Genomic DNA, 23,418 nt, shown 5'->3' with positions numbered 1-23,418 from the left:
ACGTTTTTAAGCCATTTTTAAAGTTTCCTTTTGTTTATTATTTAATAATGTTTTTCTAGTTGTATTGACCATATTTTATACAAAACTGAGGAAGACAGAAAAGTATAAAAAAGAAATGAAATATGCCACCTATTAAATCTCATTTTGGTGATTAGCCTTCTGTTCTTTTCTATGCAAACGTATACCCTCCAAAAATAGCAATGATGTTATCATCAAAATTATAATATCTGTTCATTGTGTTTATATCTTGAGCATTTACCCCTATTCTTAAGTCTTATTTTATAGCCTGGTTAGTTAACGATGGCACAGCATCCTACCACAGGGGTTTATTTTACTAAATCTTTCTTGCTGATCATTTAGGTGTTTTCTGCTCATTTTTAAGGGGAAATATTTGGGTGATGCCACAGAGCACCCTTCTCCCAGCCCCACAGATTGTGCAAGCACCTTGGCAGTACTCCCAGGTGTGGGGTTTAAATCCCAAGCCCCCCATTAACACTCCAGCTCACGGCCTGACAGCAATTGCCTAGGCCTGAAGTTGCCCACACACAGAGCAGTCCTCTGTCTTTGAGCAGAGCCTTCCCTGCAGAGAATCCTCGCATATCCATAAATCAGCACCTTAAGCTACATATGATAGAATGACAGGGTTTTAGAGACTCATGGGTTGGGGAGGAGATTTACTGTATGTACCTGAATCAGGGCGTCCTTCCACATGTGTTTTGAAATGCTCTAGGAGCTGGATCTCCAATTCTGGTTGGTCCCAAGCACTGTAAGGCCTTGGGATACAGAGAATGCAGACAGGCCCTACACTCCAAAATCTTATGGTCAACCGAGGGAACAAAGGTTTGGGGAGGTGCTCCAAAGGGGATACATACAGGATATGACGGGAACTGAGAAGAAGGACTCTTAGACTCATCTGGAATACAAGAGTCACAAATTAGGGTAATAAATTAAGTTTGGTGACTCTGGAGCCAGAATACCTGGATGTGAACCCTGGTTCATCACTTTGTAGCCATGTGAGTGCCTGCAAAGAGTAATAATACTAGGGCATGCCCCACGGGTTATCATATAAAGTGCTAGAACAATGCCTGGTACATGGCAAGCCCTCAATAAATGTTAACTACTGCTGTCCCATTAGAAGGGATCCATGAGGGAAAGGGCTTCATTTTATTCACTGCTATATCCTTAGTGACTAGCACATAATAGATGCTCAATAAATATTTGTTCGATGTTAAATATTGGGGTTTTCTTCTTGTTCATTTCCCATCTTAGTAAGACCAACATTCCCACCTTAGAGAATCTTAAAACAAAAAAGCAACAACAAAAAACCATCCTGTAAAACATTTTTTAAAAATATTTGAATGTAATAATGCTAGACTTGGCTTTAAAATCTTCTCCAGTTGGGCCCACAGTCTCAACAACTTATGCAGAAAGGAAAGAAAGGAAAAAAGAAAAACAGCAGCAGATAAAAAGGATGTGGAGAACTGTAGAACTAGGCACATGAGAATTTTCTTTTTAATTTCTATGAAGAGGATGATTTCCTGGAATCTTGATTTTTTTTTTCTTTTTAACACCAGGCTAATTTCTTTTTTCTCTGAACCTAAGAGCTGTGTTAATGGGAATAGCAGTTTTGTACTTAGAGAGGAGATAATATCCAAAGACTAAAAATATTGTGTCATGTGGCCATTTGCCAGCGACTCAGCAAGGCTCTCTGTAAAACCTGGCATTTTCTCCCCCTTTTTAAAGGCTTGTTTAATCAAAGCTGCTCCCTTGATATTCATTCTTGGAAAACAGAAATTAAATAGAATGAAAAGCAACTGCAGCCCCTCTCTGCCCCCAGTCCTGGCTAAGAAAAGTCCTGAGTAATCAGATCAATTCAGTTAACAAATGCTTGTCAGACAAGCTCTCTGGTTTTCCTGCTGGGAATATTTCTTTACCACCACCCCAGGTTTCTCTATTTGCCGCCCCTTTGCAGCTAGGTTTGCTCTCAGACACAAAAGCTTTAGTTTGGAAGACAAGAAGCCCATCCTTCCTGCCCCATTCACCCTTGATTGTGCCTTGGTGTAGGGAGAAAGGAAGGTGAGAGGGAGCTGGCCCAGTTTCCAGAAATGTCAGCTCCCTGGGGTACGAGGGGAACGCCACCTCCAGGCTTGCTTCCCCACTGCAGTAGGAGTCACCGACCAATGATTCAACCTGTGCCACTTTGCAGCTATCAGTTGCTTTCAGTAGAAACAAACAACAAGAATTCAGCTTCTTGTCTTTTATAGAATAGAGCAGTCAACTACCAGGCCACCGCAGGCTGAGTTTCCAGAAGGAAAGACCCTTATTCGGCCCACATCCAGGGAGTGTCAATGGCTCCACAAGCCACTGAGTACATGGCCCCAAACCCACCCCAGAGGGCCAGAGCACTCAGGACTGTGGCAAGTTACAAATATGTTGCCACATTCCTATATTTTTCAATGGAAGCTGAATATTTTGTAAAAGCCTCAATTCCTCTCTTTGTTTTCCCCTATTCCACCCTCGTCTCAGCTCAGAGGTGGGACGTGGAGGAGGAAGGAGGAAGAGTGCCTAGAAGAAAAAAAACTATCGTTAAAAAACTACCCACTGCAAGTCCTTAACGTGGCTCCTGCTCGTGGTTCATTGTTCTGAGGATGAGCTAAGTGGGTTACAGGCAAGTACTTGAATGTTTTTAAGAAGAGACACGATGACAAATGCAAAATGCTATTATTAATGTAATCCTTCACCGATAAAGCTGCAGATCCTATGCCCTCACATTCTGTCATTCTTTTTCCATAATTGGCCTGGGTTCTGTGCTGCAAGATTCAGGCTTTGCTAATCTTAATAACAATGATCCCCATCTATTTGAGAGTGTCCCACCCCACATGCAAACAGCCAGCAGTGACCACATATTTGGAGTGGGAATTGTCCAGTACCTTTGCTTTTTCCTTTTATGAGCCTTTGAACAAGAACCTGGAGTAGAATGAAGAATGCCTTTTGCTAAGACTTCAGGTGGTGACTCCTGACTCCTGAGTTGGCAGGCAGACACCAGGGGAGCTGAATGACTGGGGCAGGTGGGGGTGTATGGTGGGGACAGGGATGCTGTCACTCAGAAAAGCAAGGGGTAGGAAGCCAGTGGCAGAACTTGCCAGAACAGAGTAGAAGGGAGGTGGGTCAGGAGACCTGGGTTCTCACTGGAGTTACCTGACCCCTCAGTTCCCTCCCTCATCCAGAAATCAAGGACTGCCCAATGGACCTGAAAGATCCCATCCAGCTGGGACCCTTGATAGGGCCAGGTCTGGCATATGATGACCACTTTATACACAGGAAAACCAAAACTCACAACTGGCTGCCACTTCCTAGAGCTATGAGCAAGATAAAGACAGAAAGAGAAGGATGGCCCCTGCTGCGCTCCCAAAAGTCCAGGTAGTAGCTAGGTTATTGCTCTCTTAATTTAATCCTTTGTCTGCCTTGGTGAAGACAAAGCACATTTCATTTTATGCAAAAGCCCTTCCTCAATGGAAAGGCCAAAAGAAAGCCCCTTAATGGAGAAATTGCTGTACTAGATCATTTTGCCTCCAGCTGAGAGATTGATTAACATCCTGGGAGTCTCCAAGGAGGCTCTTCTGCAGTCACGGTGGCCATTTCCAAGCAGAGGGGGAAGCAGAGAGTGTGGGAGTTGAATGGGAGGAGGGTGGTCTCAAAGAGCCTCCTTCAGAAAGTGGAGAAGAGGTGGGGGGGTGGGTACCCAAAGAAGAAATGCCAGTAAAAATAATTATTCACATGCAGATCATCCTTCTCTATGTTCTGAGCCCATTATTAATGCATACCTCCAAGCCAAGCCCCGGCTCTACCTGCATGCCCACCACAACACAGAAGGTGCCCAGGAAGGGGGAACCAATGCTAGATCTAAGCCTGTGCCTGGCCAATGCAGTAGCCACTACCCTCACGTACGTGTGACTATGAGCATTGAAATGTGGCTGGTCTGCACGGAGATGATCTGTAAGTGTAAAATGCACACTGAGTTTGGACACCGAGTATGGAAAAAGAAGGCAAAATATCTCATTAATCATTTTATGTTGACTATGCTGAAATATTTTGAGTATACTGAGTTAAATAAGCTATTAAAATTAATTTCATTTATTTTGTTTTACTTTCAATGTGGCTACTAGAACATTTAAAATTACATGTGCAGGACTCATTTCTGGCTCACAGTATAGCTTTATTGGACAGAGCCGGTCCAATATTGATCAGTGTTGGTCCAAACAATGTACCAGCACATGCTTTTTAAGTTTCACTAAAAAGAAGGGAGCAAATACAAGTGGCTTCCAGATTAGTACCTGTTTTTCATTAACTGTGATACAGTTTCACTTTATTAAGCTGGAGAAGAGTTGTAAGATTTGTCATTTTAAAGGGGTTGAGGTTTCAAAATGCATCCTATAGCTATTTTTAAAAATCCATTATTCATTCTCTAGTTGCTGCCACCAGCAGGGTGACTCGTGGACCCCACCAGGTTAAGATGACAGACACAAACCAAGCCTAGGTCGCTTCAGGCATGTGCTTTAGTGTTTTGTTAAACTCTGTCCTTGTTTGTTCAGTCCAGTGGTTCTTGAAGTACATGGTACATCAGAATCACCGGGGAGGTTTGTATTCAAACTCAGCATTCTCAGGCAATGTCCAGGAATCTGCATTTTTAAAATCAGCCTAAGTATGTTCTAATGCCTGAACACACTTCTAAAGCCTGCAAAACACTTATAAACCGGTGTTTCCACTGGGTGTGGTGGCTCATGTCTGTAATCCTAGCACTTTGGGAGGCCAAGGCAGGTGGATGGCTTGACCCCAAGAGTTTGAGACCAGCCTGGGCAACATAGCGAAACCCTATCTATAAAAAATACAAAAATTAGCTGGGTGTGATGGCGGGCACCTGTAGTCCCAGCTACTTGGAAGGCTGAGGTGGAAGGATCACCTGAGCCAGGAAAGTTGAGGCTGCAGTGAGCTGTGATTGCACCAGTGTACTCTAGCCTGGGTGATAGAGGTAAGACCCTGTCTCAAAAATAAACAAACCAGTGTTCCCAGCCTTTTCGTCCAGAATAATTGCCTAAGATATTTGCCAAATATGCAAAATTGTTCTCAGACAATGCAGAAATGCAGACTCAGACTCGAAAACTCCAGGAGTGGGACTTGGAAATTTTGGGAGATGATGTGGCAAACCAGCAGTTCTCACCCCTGGCCATACATTAGATTCCCTGGGGGCTTTATAGTCCTAATGCCCAGGCCATATCCAAGTCCAATCACATCAGACTTTCACAGGGTGGGACACAGACATCCGTGTTCTTTAAAGCTCCCCCAGTGGTTTCAATTTACAGCCAAGGTTGAGAAGCACAGGTTGGTCAGTAGCAAATTAACCCACCTCCCTTCTACTTTTACGAACCTAACGATGTCATTTGCTTCTACTTAGTACCCCCAAGCACCCAGAATAAAACGTCTAAGTACAAAGGCCATAATATGTTATGTCCTAAACTGTTATTACCTTTTCCTAATCTGAGAAAGTTTTCTTCCAGATTATGTCCACCGCTCCTGCAGGCTGGCTGTTGACTTTCTGTACAGCTGTTAGTTCCAGCACAGGTGTTAAATATTTCATTAACAATTTCTGCTGCAACTCTGAGTACCCCCTCCCCAAACAACTCCTCAACTCACTGCAGAAGCCACAAGCCCCCGCAGCTGCTCTCAGAATGCTTTTGATGGCACTACATTTTTTTTTCTGAAGGGAGCAACACCTGCTGCAGTTGTTTCCTACCTGGGCAGCTTTCCTTCCTCTGAAAGGGTAGCTACCTGATCTAGGAGGTGTTTTTAAAGGGGCCATGACCTTATTCTGTCTGCATAATTTGGAGAGATACATTTAAAGTGGAGATTTAAAAACAAATATATGTTTGTCTTCACAACTGAAATTCTTTCCACTTTTCCCCCACTGGTTCTTATACAAACGTTATAGTAATTGTCATATTGGATTATAATTAGTGTATGCATGTATCAGAAATCAGAACACGATACCCCAAAATATGACATCTTGGCAATTGAAGAAAACCTTCTCAGAAGCAGGAAGCCCACTCTTTCTCCCAACTTTCTCCCCTGAAGCATGATCATAAAGGAATTCTCTGACCTACCACCCCTAAAAGTAGGTCATAAGAACCTGATTCTAGAGGATTCCAGACCCTACAACCAGAGACCAAGAAGAATCTGAACAAACAGGGCCTTGCTAAGTTTCCCCAGTTTATTACCTTTATGTCATACCCCTTTTTGTCCAGTTACGATTCTACACGACTGCCCATTCTTCATTGAACTTCAGCATAAAAATACAGTTTTCCCTGGGGGTCTTTGGGTCTTCATTTCTGAAGCCCTCCCACGTCATGTAAAACTTTGGTTAAATAAATTTGTTAATTTACTCTTCTTGTTAATCTCTTCTTTGTTATAGGAGTGTCAGCTGTAAACCTTTTGACAAGTGAGGAAAAGCTGTTCCTTCTCCCCTACGCATGAATGTCTGCCATTCAGTTTACGCTTCCTGAGGTCAATGTGTCCTACTCATCTCTGTTTCCAAAGTATCTAATAGGATGCCTGGCACATAGAGAGTTCTTTGTAAATGTTGAAATGAACTAAATATGTAAGTGAGGTGCTATACTTTGGGTTTCTGACCTTATCTCCATTAAGAATCCCTGGTCATCAGTAAGCAAAAGTGGCCATAGGGCACAGTTCTGGCCAGTGAGATATAGCAGAAGTCCTCTGGGTAGGGCTTCCAAGAGAGTTTTTGTTTTCCTGATAAAAAAAGGGACAGATTGGGCCTGCCTGCTCTATCCTGTATCCCTCCCTGGTTGCTTCTTTCTTTTTCTTGCATGGAACTCTGAGGTAAATCCGGGAGGTGCAGCAGCCATCTGGCAATCATGAGGTGAGAAAAAGAGGACAGTGCCAACAAACAAGCTCTGGTTAGAAAAATAGAAGCATAGGAAGAGCCCAGGCTCCTGATGGTAGCAGATGCACCAGTGCTGAACTGCCTGCCTGCCTCTAGACTTATTAGAGAAGAAAAAAAGTTCCCATGTACACGCCCATGGTTAAGTTTTGTTATTTGCAGACAAACACATTCCTAACTAGTATGAGAAGTATGTTATTAAGAAGTATGCATTTCAAGCACCTAGTATTGCTCTTAACACATAGACACCCATTAAATGTTTGCATATTCATTTATTCATGCAAATATTAACATGAATGAATGAGTTAATGAATGAATGGGTGATTTTTTTTTTTTACACAGAAGGATCATCTTCTAATAAAAACAGACTATTCCCTTACTTTAAGTTGTATCCAATAATTTTATAACAGCTTTGTTTCAGAGTCTGTAGACTATATATATTCGTCCTGGTATTCCCAAGGCTCATTTCTTCCTGTTAGAAAAAGTAGTCCAATTGAAGCTGCAAATCATGCAGCAAACAGTAGAAACAGCCTCCTGGTGTTACCAATTCCCCGAGTGTCATATTTCAAGTATTCTCTTCTCTGTAAGGCAGGGTCTGCAGGAGTGTTTCCTGCTCCAAGGTTAGTGGGGTGGGATTCGCTTTGTTTTTTCTTTTTTCTCTCCAACCTGGACTGCTCAGCTGCAGTGTGTGCACAGGCCACATTAGTGGGCAGAGCCAGGAGCTGAGGCGTCCACTCCCAGGGAACAACTAAGAGGCTTCACCTGAGGATTGGTGGTTATACTTGCCCCACTAGCAGCTACATTAAGAAAACTGATTAAGAAGGGAGAGAAGAGACATCCGCTGTCTCAGACTGAATCATGAGGCAATTCCCAGGACCCAATCTCCTGCTCTACAACCTAGAATTCTGGGGACTCCTTAATTTTTTTTTTTTTTTTTTGAGACAGGGTCTTGCTCTATTGCCCAGGCTGGAGTGTAGTGACGTGATCATAGCTCACTGTAGTCTCAAACTCCTAGGCTCAAGCGATCCTTCCACCTCAGCCTCCCGAGTAGCTGGAATTACAAGCACGCACCATCATGCCCAGCTAATTTTTTTATTTTTTGTAGAGACGAGGTCTCACTATGTTGCCTAGGCTGGTCTCAAACTCCTGGGTTCAAGCCATCCTCCTATCTTGGGATTACAGGCATGAGCCGCTGCATCTGGCCTCTTTTTTAATTTTTTAAACTTGGCTCTAAGCAGCTTGGCTTCATCTCTTGGGAAAGGTAGGTAAATGCTTGGATTTGGGGTGTACATTTTATGCTTTTAAAATAGAGCTGGTTTTTATGAGCTTAGATTTTTAAAATATTGAGCAGTTTTGATACACCCGGCACTGCACTAAGTGGTTTTACATGCATTGTCTATGTAATACTCACAGCTTCTCTACTGCAGTAGCTGCTGGTACTCTTCTTTGTTTACAGATGAAGAAATTGAAACTTAGAGAGGTAACAAATGGGCCTAGATCACACAGAGCCACAAATCCACTCCAGAGTGTCTGGCCCCAGAGCCCCTTTATTCATTCCAACCATCCTGCATACACTGTGTTTGGAAGTGGACGCACATTCCCCTGACTGCCACTGCCCAAACTCACCCCGCCAAGACTCAGGACAGCAGGCTCCTGTGTCTAACCCAACACGGACAAACACCACCTCTTCCATATAAGGACACTTACACTGAGGGGAATGTTTCGGCTTGTGTCTTCTGGATCGAAGGCCTCAACCTGGTAAATGAATCCAGGGTTTGCTCTTTCTACTATGTAGAGGTGTAGACCTAGACCAGTGTCCAAAGTGGAATAAGAAACATCTTATTAAAGCAAAAATGGGGAATTCCAAAATCAAGGCAGCTGTACACAACCAAGGGAACCAAGGGTGTTGGCATCGTGGGACCAAGAATGCAATAAAAAAATCCATGAGCAAGACCACTGGCCAACTTTCCTGCATGGATCCATTTAGGGTAATTCATAAAGTGCTAGGGTTGGCCAAGCTGGTACCAAGTCTTCATTCATGTCCTCTGTTGAGAGGTGCCCCAGGGTGATGCTGTTTGAGGTGGGGGAAGAAGGAGGTGATAGGGCAGAGAGTTGGGAAGTAAACCCAGGTAGGAACCTCCGGTGTGAGGATCCCCATGTGCTGAATCCATTTTAATGTGCAAATCTCTCCTCAACTGTGCTGTTACCCCTTGAAGGACACTTGGCAACTCCGCAGAAATGAGCCGTTGAAATGAGGGATCTTACAGTGGAACAGAGATAAATAGAATAAGTAGGGGAGGGCTACAGAGGCTCAAGGGAGGAACCAAAAACTGATTTCATCTGTTTCAGAGTTTTTCACAGTGATGGGGGAGGAGGGAGGAGCAGGCGGTACCAGCACTGACCAAGGGGCCACAGAGCTCTCACTCGGGCATTTTTTCCTTCCCAGTGATGATGGACAATATGAAAAGTAACTCACTCTATTGGGGGGCACCGTGCTGAGGACTTAACATACATTTTCTATTTTCATCTTCATAACAGTTCTATTAATATAAAGCAGGTATTGTATTTATTCTTTTAGCGTAATTAGTGCTTTTCAAATGAGAACACTGAGACTCAGGGAAGTTATGAAGTTGTCCTAGCTAGTAAATGATAGAATCGAAATTAAAATCCAGATGCCTTACATCTGAGCTTGAGCTTTCATTCACTTTTTATCACTCTCATGCTTCGTTCAAAAAAATATCTACTGAGCGCTCTGTCCAAACAGTGATCTACACACTGGGAATACAGCAGCTCACAAAACAGAACCTTACTCTCATGCAACTTCCGTTTCCATGGGAAGATATGGATAGCAAAATAATTGAGGAAAATGTGTGTATATTAGTGAGAAACATTATGAGAAAAATTGGGGAAGGAAGTGTGAGTTGGGTTACAATTTTAATAAAGTGGCTATGGAAGGTTAACTGTAGCGGGGAAGGACATGACACTTGTCAAGATTTTTTTTTTTTTTTTTTTTTGAGATAGGGTCTTGCTTTGTAACCCAGGTTGGAGTGCAGTGGCACAAACATAGCTCACTGCAGCCTCGACCTCCCAGGTTCAAGTGATCCTCCCACCTCAGCCTCCTGAGTAGCTGGAACTACAGGTACCTGCCACCACATCTGGCTAATATTGGTATTTTTTGTAGAGATAGGGTTTTGCCCTGTTGCCCAGGCTGGTCTTGAACTCCTGACCTTAAGCTATACTCCCACCTCAGCCTCCCAAAGTGCTGTGATTACAGGTATGAGCCACTGCACCTGTCCCTAAAGAAATGAGGAAGAGCCAGGAGATAGGAGGGGAGGCAGAGGAATCAGCAAATGCAAAATGCTGAGGTAGGGTCATGTTTGAGGCATTTGCAGATCAGTAAGGGGGCCAGAGGCTGGGTCACAGGGACTGAGGGGGAGAAGGGGAAAGGAGGAGGGGTAGGAGGGTAAGGAATGTAGGCAGCTTGCCAGATTTAATTGGTTCTTTTTTTTTTTTTTCTTTTTTTTTTTTGAGACAGAGTCTCGCTCTATCACCCAGGCTGGAGTGCAGTGGAGCAATCTCAGCTCACTGCAAGCTCCACCTCCCGGGTTCATGCCATTCTCCTGCCTCAGCCTCCTGAGTAGCTGGGACTACAGGCACCCGCCACTACATCCAGCTAATTTTTTGTATTTTTTAGTAGAGATGGGGTTTCACCATGTTAGCCAGGATGGTCTCAATCTCCTGACCTCGTGATCCACCTGCCTCGGCCTCCCAAAGTGCTGAGATTACAGGCGTGAGCCACCGCGCCCGGCCTTTAATTGGTTCTTAAGGAGACTCCCTTTGAGTGAGACGGGAATTTCTTGTAGGGTTTTAAGCAGAGGAGTGCCTTGATTTAACTGACGTTTTAATAGGATCCCTCTGACTGCAGTATGGAAAACAGACTGCAGGGGGGCTGGGAGGCCAGCTGCCAGCCATTGCAACAATCCAGGTGAGATGGGATGAGTGGCTTGGACCATGGTGGTAGTGATGCAGACACTAGGGTGGGGCCAGGTTCTGGGTATATTTAGAAGCTGGCAAGATTTCCTAAAGGATTTCATGTCAAGTGTGAAAGAGAGAGGAGTCAAGGATGACTCAAGGCTTGGTCCAAGCAACAGGAAGGATGGAGTTACTGCTAACCAAAATGGGAAAGATATAGGAGAAGCAGATTTGGGTGGGGGTGGAGGGTGGAGAGGAAGCCAGGAGTTTGGTTCAGAAGCACATTAAGTTTGACCTGTCAAACATCCAAGTGGAGATGCTGGGTGAGAAAGGTGGATGTTTGTGTTACGACCGCCACAGCTCAGGGCAGAACCTGAACTGAAATGACAGACTTGAAAGTTGTCAGAATAGGGATGATGCTCAAAGCCATGAGCTTGGGGGAGATCCTGTAAGACATTAGTTACTGTGTGCTCTGGTCCCTTACATTGTCCCTATTGTAGCAGAAACACGCTGCCCTCAAGAAGTCAGAGTCCATGGGGAGAATGAACAAGCCAGTCAATGACCAGGGTACACAGGGATGAGCCTAGGGGCAGCTCAGCCAGGTTCCTCCACAATGATCCACTCGAGGTCTCTCTCTGAGCTTCAGTTTCCTCCCTGGGACTGGGAGGGGACCAGGAGAAACCCTGCCTGTGAAGGGCTTTGCAAACTGTTGGACATTATTATTGGGAGTGTTGAGCTGGAGGACATTTCATTTATTCCCTGCTCATTAAGCAGCTGCCTTTTCCAGGGAAACAGCTGCTTGTTTATTTACTTTTTCTGTTTCTCTCTGTCCCCCAGGGCCCTCCCTGATGCCACTGTCTGGGCTGCAGTGCACATCCTGGTGTATCCTACCTTCTGCCAAGTTGCCTTGAAACTGAGGTGGCTCGTTCACATCTGTTACCTGGACAGTCAGGACTTGCAGGTCTGTGACACCAACCTCATCCTTCACATAAATCTGCAAATCAAATATGTTTGGTCCTGTTTCAAAATCTAGTTGTTCCATCCCAGTGGTGACAACCTAAAACAAAATGCAAAATTCTTAGTAACCATGTGAAAGAAGATCTGTTTTGCATGCATGCACTTTGCAAAGGGATATTCCTAGGAAGGAAGCATCTGGCATCCCGGAAACCAGCATTCATTCACTGTCAGAGGAACCAGTTGTTTTGCCTTAGTCCTTCCAACATAAGCCCTATGATACTTCACTAAAGGGACTCCTGCATGTGATGCTGCGTTTCCTAGGAAAGAAAAATAGTCAGGAGACCTTCTGATGCAATTGACTGGAGATGGAAAGCCTTATGTAACTAACCTGCACAATGTGCACATGTACACTAAAACTTAGAGTATAATAAAAAAAAAAAAAAATTAAAAAAAAAAAAAATTAAAAAAAAAAAAAAAAAAAACCTTCCACTACTTGGGGGTAGGCTCCTAGAAAAATCCTTTAACTACCCTGAATATAGTTAGATTTCCTCATTGTTAAGAACATGGCACCTGTATACATATGTAACAAACCTGCACGTTGTGCACATGTACCCTAAAACTTAAAGTATAATTACAAAAATAAATAAAAAATAAAAATAGAACCATAACTTGTATACATGCACATCTATATGCTGATGTTCAAGGGTCTAAGACCATGCACATCTTATATTACGCGTAAGGTTGCTGCAGGTCCATTGTGCAACAAACCTCATCATTAAACATGATAAATAAAAAATTTAAAAAAAGAATACTAAGCTTTCCTGGGATTGCCGTTAAGTTATATCTTGACTCATCACTTCATTCTAATTTTCCCAAAGCCACATCCAAAAATAAACAAGAGATGAAAGATACATCTGCGTAAGTAATGATATTTACTTAATCAACAGACTGTTCACTTTCTTTGTGCCTTTCCACACATTCTTCCATTGTCAGGAGCTTTTGTTGTCTGCACTATCAGTATTTTGTAGATGTGGGAGGGATGCGAGGAACAGGGCCAGAGAGACATCACCAGAATCTAGAGCTATTGCCAGCAGGAACTCTGGCGGTCTGTGTTGGGAGGGTCCTGCTGAAACCAACTGGAGACCAGCCTGTGATTGCTCGTATCTATAGGCACAGACTCCCACCAACTTAGAGCCTTGAACTCCCAGAAGGCCCGGAGCCCCTGGGGACATTGAGGACTAAATTCCATGTATGTCCTTAATTATGTCAGTAGAACCTTTCGGTTATTAATATGACTAGGGCCAGGTGATGAGACACTCAGCATCTTGCTGTGAAGACAGAACTTGGCTCCAACTCCATCTCCACCACTGAACTTCTGGGTGGCCTTGGGAAAATCACCTTCCCTTTCCTTGATTTTGTTTCCATGTGATTGTAACTAGGGAAATAATCATTGCCCTAGTTAAACAGCTGAAGAATGATACAAGGTATTAAAAAGCTAGGTCAAGCTACTATGGAAACTGAAGGAGAGAAAACTTCACTGTGAGCTGTGTTTAGCTGGGGAAGGCTTCGTAGAGGAGTTGGTAGGTATTATGTTGGACATTGCAAGTTCTAGGTTGGTTAAGAGAACAGGGCCACAGATGTGAATGAGTACTTGTGGTGAAAGGAGAGGGTATGGAAGATTGTCGAGGGGGGAAAAAGAGGTATTCTTGTGTCTACTGGTGAACAGAGGCAACCTAGGAGCCACGTAAGTGTAGATGAACTGGTCTCTATGCTGGGCACATGGTAGTGAGGGGCAGCACAGGGGTCAAACACACAGATGCTGGAGCCAGACTGACTGGCTTGAAAGCCCAGCCTTCCCATTGCTTAACCTTCCTGTGCCTTAGTTTTCCCATCTGTAAAATGGGGATAATAACACCTACTTTTTGGGTTATCATGAGGATTCGATGAGCTAATCTATGGGAAGTACTTAGAAGACTGTCTGGCACTGAGCAAACACTCTGCAAATGGTGACTTTTCTAATCATTAAGTAGTCAAAAACTGTTCAAGGAATATATGTCCACCAGAGCAGGTGGACTTCTGTTGAGATGATCCCCTCTCATGATTTACACCCTGGCTTCCTGATTTACAACCTGGCTCCCTGCTAAGCCTGGAGCCTCCTCCTGCATGCCAAGCTTGGATAGATCCTTGACCTCAGTATTACCTATTGCCAGCCTCTTCTCCTTGGGGAGTAGCTCTCACACCCCAGAGGAAGGAAATAGAACAGTCAAAAAATGGTCCAAAAATGTTGTATCTTGGAACCAAAAGAATGGGGTTGCTCTCAACACAAATGGAAAAACTGTTCTCGTTGTTGTTGTTACCAGCATTTATTGAGCATTTATGTGCCAGACTTGCCAAGTCATTCTGTGGAGTATTTCATTTGATTGTCACAATGACCATAGGTTGGTAAAACTTCCTCCATTTCACATTTAAGGAGATTAGCTAGGAGAGGGAGGGGAAGGAGCTCTCCTAAGGTCATAGCTGGGAGTGGTGGACCCTCGATTTGGTTGTGGGCAACCTTGCTACAGAGTTTTAGTGAAAGACAGTAAGTTTCACTTTAGGCATGTTAAATTTGAGGTTGTTCTGGATAAGGCCGAGCACATTTGTAGGCCACAGTGCTCACGACAGTAGATGGGAAAAGAGGGGAGTCAAGCTCAGAGATGGACAAATGAAAGAGGGGCAGGTGCTGGCCTCCACAGGACTTCAGAGAGCCCCTCTCTCCGCAGCCAGCTGGCAGTCACTCTTCCCTGGCCTCTTAAGCTATGCTTCTGGTGCTGCTCCAGGAAAACACCCTTGACCTATGATTAGCTACAAGTGGCTGAATGAGGACATCCCTCTTGCTGGGCAGTAGCAAACCAGCGCAGCATGAGGGCTATGAACAATAATTCTTGGGGCAGCCTACCTGATTGCAAATCTCAAGCCTGCCATCTCCTAGTTATGTGAACTTGGGCAAGTTGCTCAACCTCTCTATGCCTCAGTTTTCCCACCTTCAGTGTGCAAGCAACAGTACACCACTTCATAGCATTCTTATGAGGATTAAATAAATGCATTCACAAAATATTTAGGGAAATTCCTGGCATATGGTAAATGCCCCGTAAATGAAATGTTAGCATCCTCCTCCTCATTATTATCATTACTCCTCCTCACCACCCCCTGCACCACCAGAAGTCTCAATAGCTGTGTCCCAAAGCAGGGAGGCTTGGCCTCTTGCATGATTTGGAGTTTACCCCCAGAAAGTACAAATGAGTCACAAGAAATGGTGACCCAGACTCGCCATCCTCCAGAATGTCAAGGCTATCCAAGGAGGGGCCAGATTCTGCCATGGAGATTTTCATGTCTGGAAGGCTGCAGGAGTAACTCTTGTGAGCAATTTCGGTTGGAGAGTAGGATCTTCTTGGAGGGATGGTAGAGGACGTTGGGTAGTTTCTGGGGAGAAGCAATCAGTTCTTAAGAACAGCTTCATGACTTGTGAAACTGTGGCCCATCTTAGTACCAACACAGGGTTGTACGCAGCTGCGGGATGTGATGCAAGGAGGGCACAGGACTAGGACAATACACCAAACACTTGAGCCTAGATGAGTTGAGGTGCTAAGCAATCTGCCATTTCTAGAGGTTAGGAACAGGATGGAATTCTTCCTTGATTAACAGCCCTGCTTGAATCCCACAGAATGTGGGAAGAGCAGGTCCCTTGAAGAAAGAGTTGAGAGCTCACACAAACAGCGATAGACATACATGGCAATATGACAGAAAGCCTGGAACTGGAAATCAGGAGACTGAATGAAGTTCTTATTTCACCTTTTACGGCTATGTGATCTCAGATAAATCATTTAAACTTGCTGGGTCTCTGTTATATCTAAAACAGGAATAAAACATTTCTAAATAGTGATATTAATGTTGTAACAATCAAGAGATGAAACCACGTGTGGTGGTGCAGTGCCTGTAGTCTCAGCTACTGGGGAGGCTGAGGCGAGAGGATCACTTGAGCCCAGGAATGCAAGTGCAGCCTGGGCAGCATAGTGAGACCCCATCTCAAAAAAAAAAAAAAAAAAGAGATCAGGTATGTGAATGTGCCTTGGAGCCTCTATGCAAATTCAAAGGAACATGATCATCTTCATCACTAAATGCTGTAGACCATAAATGCTAAGGATGAGAACTCCCACGTGGAGACAACCCAAATGTCTGTCAATTGATGAATGAAAAAACAAAATATGGAACATAATATAATTCAGCCATAAAAAGCAATGAAGTACTGATCCAGGCTACAACATGGGTGACCCTTGGAACCTTATGCTAAGGGAAAGAAGTCAGTCATTAAAGACCACATACTATAATGATTCCATTCATAGGAAATGTCCAGAATAGGAAAATCCATAAAGACAAAGTAGATTAGTGGTTGCCAGGGATTGGAGGGATAAGGGAATAGCTGAGTGACTGCTAATGGGTACAGGGTTTTGTTTTGGGGTGATGAAAATAATCTAAAATTAGATTGTGGTGATGCTTGCATGACTGTGAATATACTAAAAACTACCGAATTGTACAATTTAAATGGCTGGAGTATATGCTCTGTGAATTATACTCAATAAAGCTGTTTTTTAAAATGAGAGCACTGGAGCCAGACTGCCTGGCTTCCATTCTCAGCTTAGTTACCTACTAGCTGTACAACCCAGGGCAAATTACCTAATCTCTCTGTGCGTCATTTTCCCCATCTGTGAAAAGGAGGTAATAAGATGGATACAATCCTTATGTTTTGAGACTAGAAAAGCAAACACACGCAAAGCACTGTCAACAGTACCCAGTGTACACAACGTGCTCTATAAGGGTAAGCAATTGACAAGGCTTACAGGAACCAAGGAGCAGCAGCAGCTGTTAAAGACAAGCTGAATGTCTAGGGAGTCAGTAGACAGGGCAGTTCAGTCACAGAACCAGCATCTGGGACCCAGGAATGTAAACCGCATGCTGCAATGTAGACTGACTGAATGTGTGCTCCTTACCTCCCCGAGGGCTCCCCCAGGGTGATGAGAATACCGGAAATCTGGGCTCTGGCCTCCAGTCATGGGTTCCGCAGGTCTGCTACAGGGCCCCAATATGCATGCTTTTTCAAAGCTCTCCTAGTGACTAATGATAAGCTGAGTTTAAGAACACGTAATGGGAACCTCAGGGAAGCAACCCTGACTCAGGACCCAGAGGAATGGCAGGTTGGACCAATGGCAGAGCTGATGATAACAGCAGGAAGTTCCCAGGACAGTTGAGGAAGGAGGTGGGGGCAGGGAATACTGAAACATAGGCAGATCCAGACATGGGACCCTAAAGACACCTTAGAAGGCCTCTGCGGTTACCAGTGGAAAGCATGCAAGAAGCAGGCTTGTCCCCACTTTAGGGAAGTGACAGCTTTGGAAAAGATTCAAATGACAAACTAGAAAACAGAGCAGCAGAGGCATGCCTCTTGAATGTCAATGGTTGGCTCTGAATTATCCAAGAGGAAACATTCACATGGTAGGGCTGGACATTTAGACTTATATTTTTGTTAAAGGGTGTATGGCTTTTTAATTAAATAAGTCTCCTCTTAGATTATCTTCTGAAAAAATCAGACTCATAGGAAAGCAGAATCACTAGACACAAGTACATCAGGGCATGGCTTTTAGGGAGATCAATATCCAAACTACTCCACCGAAAGAATTTAGATACTGTAGGCACACCAAACACCTGATGTCATGTGAGGGATGGAGGCCATAAGAAGCAGCTCTCTATTTGCAACACATTGAGCATAATGCTTATGTAAACTGTATGGAGTGGGGAAGGTCCAAAGGCTACACGAGCATCTTAGCACAGAAGGCCCTGGGATGCCTCAGACAGGACTCCTGGACCTTACAAGAGGGAAGATTAAACCAGATGGAGGAATTAATCACTGATCTGGCATCCCATCCACCCTCATTTTCAGGATCACCTCTTTGCAGGCAACACTCATGTTGGTAAGTTGTTACTTACCTCAAAGTAGGTGCCTGACAGCCAATTCACCCTAAAAGCTTCAGTGAGGGGATTTGAGTTGACTATCTGGGGAAATCCTGGGATCACAGGTGACAATGATGCTGATAACTTCACAGAAAACTTGTGCACTGAAGTCCCAGGTGGAGAATTCTCTGCCACATTGCCTGTAGCAGGTAAGAGGATTAGGTGTAGTGCTTCTCCCCCTGTGGAGTAAAAAGGGTGCAGGATGACATGAACACAAAGCCTTTTGCTGGGAACAGGGACTTAACAGCTTGGTTTGTGGCTTCAATTCGTAGCTCAGGGTGACGATGAGAGCTGGTCACTCCCCGAGAACAAACGCTCTTGCCAAGTGCTGGCAATGTATATGTGAGATCTTCTGGGAGCCAAGAAAACAACCACCACCAAACAACCAAGAAATCTGCTTCTGTCACTCAGTAAATAAAGCTGCTGCTTTTCTCTTGTCTCCCTGCTTCCCTTCTCTTTTCTCCCAGCCTTTGGGAAGAGCAGGGAAAGAGAACTGTGACACCTTAGGAGACAGACATCCGCCTAAAGAAACTTGCCTCATAATGTCATCTTCTCTCTTGCCAGGGCCCTGTAGCTTACAAGAGTTTGTTTTCCTTCTCTGCGTCAGCAATCTAGAGGTCATCTGAGAATTGAGTGTGCATGACTGGAGAACACCAAAATCATGGTAAATCTCTCCAAGTCCATTAGTAATCTCAAGGACAATTTTTGGTTATTATTGGACTCTGTAGGCATCATGCAGAGGGCCAAGCAGTACCTCTTGGTTGGTAGATTAACAACCATTCCACAGAGGAGGAAACAAGAGGCTCAGGGATGGCATGTGAATTGCCTTGGGCTGCCTTACAGGCAGGGAATTTTACAATTTAATAGAAAGCACATTTCTTCCAGGAAAGCCTTGGGACCATTCTAAGGTGCACAACACTACAAGACTTTGCCAGTGCAGAGAAAAGGAACAAGCTGTATTCTCTCAGCCTTCCATAATGATAATTACTGTTGTGGGTTGAACAGTGTCCCCAAAAGATTCATGTCCACCCAGAACTGCAGAATGACCTTATTTGTTTTTGTTTTTTTGAGACAGTCTTACTCTGTCACCCAGGCTGGTGAGATCTTGGCTCACTGCAACCTCTGCCTCCTGGGTTCAAGCGATTCTCATGCCTCAGCCTCCCAAGCAGCTGTGATTACAGGTGTGCTCCACCATGCCTGGCTAATTTTTGTATTTTTAGTAGAGACGAGGTTTCACCATGTTGGCCAGGTTGGTCTTGAACTCCTGGCCTCAAGTGATCCACCTGCCTCAGCCTCCCAAAATACTGGGATTACAGGCGTGAGCCACCATGCCCAGCCAAGAATGATCTTATTTGGAAATAGAGTCTTCATGGGTGTAATTAGTTGAGAGGCAGTCATATTGCATGAGGGTGGGTCCTAAATCCAGTGGTCAGTGTCCTCATAAGAAGACAGGACACGCACAGAGGGGAAAAGGCCATGATATAATGGAGGCAGAGACGAGTGATGCAGCTACAAGCCCGGGAATGGAAAGCAAACGCAGAAGCTAGGAGGTAGGCATGGAGCAGATATTCCCTCAGAGCCCCCAGCAGGAACCAACACTGCCAACACCTTGATTGCAGACTTTTGGTCTTCTGAGCTGTGACAGAATAAATTTCTGTTGTGTGATAGTTTGTTACAGCAGCCCTAGGAAACGAATACAATGATCATTTATCCAATGTTACAAATAAGTGCAAAATGTAAAATCCTGTATTTCACTTACTCCTCAAACACTCCTCTCAGACAGGTATTAATGTCATTTTACAGATGGGGAAACTGAGCTGAAATCCACACAGCAAATAATAAATAACAGAGCCAAGATTTACACAGGTCCCCCTTCCCAGCCAGCTTCCCAATCTCAGCCACCATCAGACCCTGAGAAGAAAACCCTGAACAAGTAGGAGGCACGGAGTGGGTAGGGACAGTAGAAGGTTCTGTCCCACTGAAAGGTATAAATGTTCTAGGAACAAACAAACCAGGATGTTTTATTTCAGTTGGTGCGGGGTGGGGTGAGTGCAGAGGAGTAAATGGAAAAGAGGAAAAAATTGAAATATAAGCACATTCACTGATACAAGCTTTTAAAATCTAAAGTCATCTTATTTAGTTTAGAGGCTAAAATGCATAATGCATAAGTTATTGTCGCTCGCAGAATTATCAAGTTTTATGGACAAGGACTGTGCAAGGACTCAGAAATATCAAAACAGCTGAAGTTTAGGGTGATGCGAATATGAATAGATTTTTAAAAATCTATTACAATTGACTTTGATATTATAGCATTCTTATGGTAAAAACCAGGAGTGAAAGAGTATGGTTGGAGTATTTAGAGACAAAGCTCTCAAAAACAGTTTTTCAAAATGAGCAAAATACTCTATTGCTTTGATGGGTTGGGTATTTGGGGCATAATTCCCTCCCATTCTCTTTTCTCGCAAATGCATACCTCTCTGAGCTGTTCATGAGAGTGTTCCCTCACTGTTTAGCAAGACAAGGACAGCTGTACAGGAAATGGAAAGTTGGCAATCTGTCTCATGGGATGCCCACATTCTCACCCATATTCTTCCCTTGCCCCCTCCAACCCTCTCCAGTGACTCGTGCCCCTCCAGGCAACAAGCAAAGTTAGAACTTGCTATGTTTTTCTCAATAATAGCCTAGGGTAAGATCGTGCCTAGCCCAAACGAATAGACTAAAATAAGTACCCATTTCATTTATCAAGCACCTGCTCAGCTGGCATCATGCTAGCTCCTTGACTGCCTGATCCCCTTAATCCCAGCACAATCCTCCGACATAGGTATTGCTGTCACCATTGTACACATCTGAGATTATACTGCTGTCACCATTGCACACATCTGAGATTATACTGCTGTCACCATTGCACACATCTGAGATTATACCACTCAGGGAACAGTCATGGAGGGCCCTGGCTCATGGTATCTGGATCTTGTACCTAACAGACTACACATACCTACTACAGACAGTCGGTCACTCCATGCCTGTCACATGACCATGCACATAGGATGCATCATAGTTATTCAGTCACCCTGGGACACTGCAACAACATGGCTGTGGGGGCTGGTAAGAAATTGACCTTTAACCTGGATGTTAGATCTTGATGATGTGATTTGTAAGAGGCTGTTTCTGGAACAACACGAAGAATTGTGCTGGAGTGTGAGCGTGGTGTGAGCTCAGGTAGAAGGGACTTGCTAAGCTCCACTCAGGGCTCTCCACAGCCTCACCCCGAGTGGAGAGATCACTGTGCCTCCCAACCTTAGTGCAGCTCCTTTGGGGAGCTGGGGACTGTAGAGAAGCCATGCTCCCCAAATATTGCCTGCTGATAGCTCCTGGTTTGCTTTGCTAGAAGTATATCCACTGATTTTCTTGAATTGATCATAACTTTGATAATTCCTGGGTCTGAGAGACTAATTCCATGAAAGATCCAGCATTCCAATCCTAGGCATCTGACTCCAAGGACAGCTCCATGATGTCTCCTTAAATCAGAGTGTTTTTTATCGTCCTCCTTGAATGGTCATATTTTGAATGGCAGTGAGAGATATTTTTGAAGAAGTGGATATAGCCAGTGACTCTCAAGCAATTTTTATTGGGAACCGCCTGTCCCATGTATGGTGAAAGCCAGACTGTCCTTGGATATGCCCTTTCTGCCGATATTCTTGCTAGAAATGATCTACATTTTTTCAGGTGGCCTCTCTTCCCAGGGCAAGGCCGTGTGTGCCAGGGTCATGCAAATGAATCCTTAAAACTTTGAGGCAGACCTAGGCAGACCTAGCAGTCCTAGGCAGTCCTTTGAGGCAGACCTAGGCAGTCCTAGGGATACTGATTTTTTTTTTTTTTTTTGAAATGGAGTCTCGCTCTGTCTCCCAGGCTGGAATGCAGTGGCGCGATCTTGGCTCACTGCAAGCTCTGCCTCCCGGGTTCACGCCATTCTCCTGCCTCAGCCTCCTGAGCAGCTGGGACCACAGGCACCTGCCACCATGCCTGGCTATTTTTTTGTATTTTTAGTAGAGACGGAGTTTCACCGTGTTAGCCAGGATGGTCTTGATCTCCTGACCTTGTGATCCACCTGCCTCGGCCTCCCAAAGTGCTGGGGATACTGATTTTTTTAAAAAGATAGCCAAGCTGGGTTCTCCTGACCTTAATTCAAAATCCGGTTTCTCCAGCTCTATTGCTATTTGTAAAAGAAGTAGTAGTAGTAATAATAGCAATAGCAAGGATAATAAGTGACTAGGGTCCATACCCTAAAAATAGAGTAATGAATAAGATACAATATTCACAAAATGTTAAACCCATCTGTTATACAGGTAAGCTTAAGTGATGTATCCAAAGGCACCCATCTGGTCAATGGCAGAGGGAAGATTAGAGGCCAGGTGCCAGCTCTCCCTAAAACACCGCATACTTTCCTTCCATGGCTGGTCTTCCAGGCTTTCTTTGGTGGTCTGAGTGCTAGAGAGCAAGAAGGAGGCTCTAATGGAATTTGACTTACACATGCATCTTAATTAAGAATCAAATTAGAATTGCTTGAAGCACGTACTTTGGAAAAGAAAGAGCATGCAAAAGATTTATTGTCAGCCATGGCGCCCACTGAAACATCTTGCTTGTGGCTAAGATCTGGATGCAGGATGTGCTCACTTGTCTCCCTTGAATCACTGCCTCTCCAGAAATGGACCAATGGGGCTTCCCTGGGAGCCTATGTTGGGATAATTAAGCCTTCCACAGTCTCAGAGAGGAGGAAGTTGGCCACCCTGGACCTTTGACACTGAAAGTGGAGATGCGGGTCAAGAATGTGGGGTGATGCCATCTTCTTCTTGGGGTGTAGCTGCTCTAACTTAGAGCTCTGCTTTCAATACACAGAGCAGGACTCCCTGAGACCATCACTCAATAGCTACCTCTTCATTCTCTCTAGTACCTAATCAAACAGCAGTGAACAAAATCAGTTCTGTGAAAAGAACGAGAGATTTGGAATCAGACCCCTGGCTTCAAGTCTTAGCTTTGCCACTGCTTGACTGTGTGACCTTAGGCTGGTCCCTTGACTTCTCTGGGGGTTCCTGTCAACTCTGTCTCTCAGGGCTATGGTGCTACATTAACAGTAGCCACTAAACAGGGTTCCTTTGCTAAAGAAGACTCATGGGACCCAAGTGACAATGCTTATAAATCTACAGTTTTATTACAGAAAACGGATACAGCATAGCAACAACATGAAAGTAAGGATATGCACTACAGCTGAAGGCTGCCTCAGCAGGAGATCCACAGAGGCCAGGTGCAGGCTAGGCTCTTACTGTTGTCTTTTCTCTATGGGACGGAAGAATGCACTGTCTTGGATCAGGAACAGCCAATGTATGCACAAATATCTTGGAATTATGGAGTCTTTACTGGGATTTTTTTCTATTTTGCTGTAGGCATATTCTTGTTCTATAACTGGCCTCAACGGCAGAACCCACAGAAGG

At 44.3% G+C, this 23,418-nt stretch overlaps 1 protein-coding gene across 2 annotated transcripts in view, besides 1 other annotated feature; it reads right to left on the bottom strand.

The window, feature by feature from the left end:
- CDHR3 (cadherin related family member 3) overlaps window positions 1-23,418 on the bottom strand; it is a 73,169-nt gene that overhangs the window by 43,481 nt on the left and 6,270 nt on the right. Inside the window, exons 2-4 of one of the 2 annotated variants that reach the window (NM_152750.5) lie at window positions 17,906-18,108; window positions 11,819-11,984; window positions 8,663-8,760 (exon numbers count right to left, since the gene is read on the bottom strand). In NM_152750.5, coding sequence (NP_689963.2) covers window positions 8,663-8,760; window positions 11,819-11,984; window positions 17,906-18,108 — 467 coding nt within the window. The remainder of the gene's footprint in view (window positions 1-8,662; window positions 8,761-11,818; window positions 11,985-17,905; window positions 18,109-23,418) is intronic. The other variant, NM_001301161.2, reaches the window with a different exon arrangement.
- Window positions 1,698-2,345: an enhancer, noted in NCBI's record as "OCT4-NANOG-H3K27ac-H3K4me1 hESC enhancer chr7:105631053-105631700 (GRCh37/hg19 assembly coordinates)". NCBI's record gives its function as "activates a minimal SCP1, AML or CMV promoter by ChIP-STARR-seq in naive H9 embryonic stem cells {active_cell/tissue: H9 hESC(naive)}" and the evidence as "EXISTENCE:reporter gene assay evidence [ECO:0000049][PMID:30033119]".

This window comes from Homo sapiens, chromosome 7 (genome assembly GCF_000001405.40).
Source record: "Homo sapiens chromosome 7, GRCh38.p14 Primary Assembly".
Taxonomy (NCBI): Eukaryota; Metazoa; Chordata; class Mammalia; order Primates; family Hominidae; genus Homo; species Homo sapiens.
This window is presented reverse-complemented; position numbering and strand designations above follow the sequence as displayed.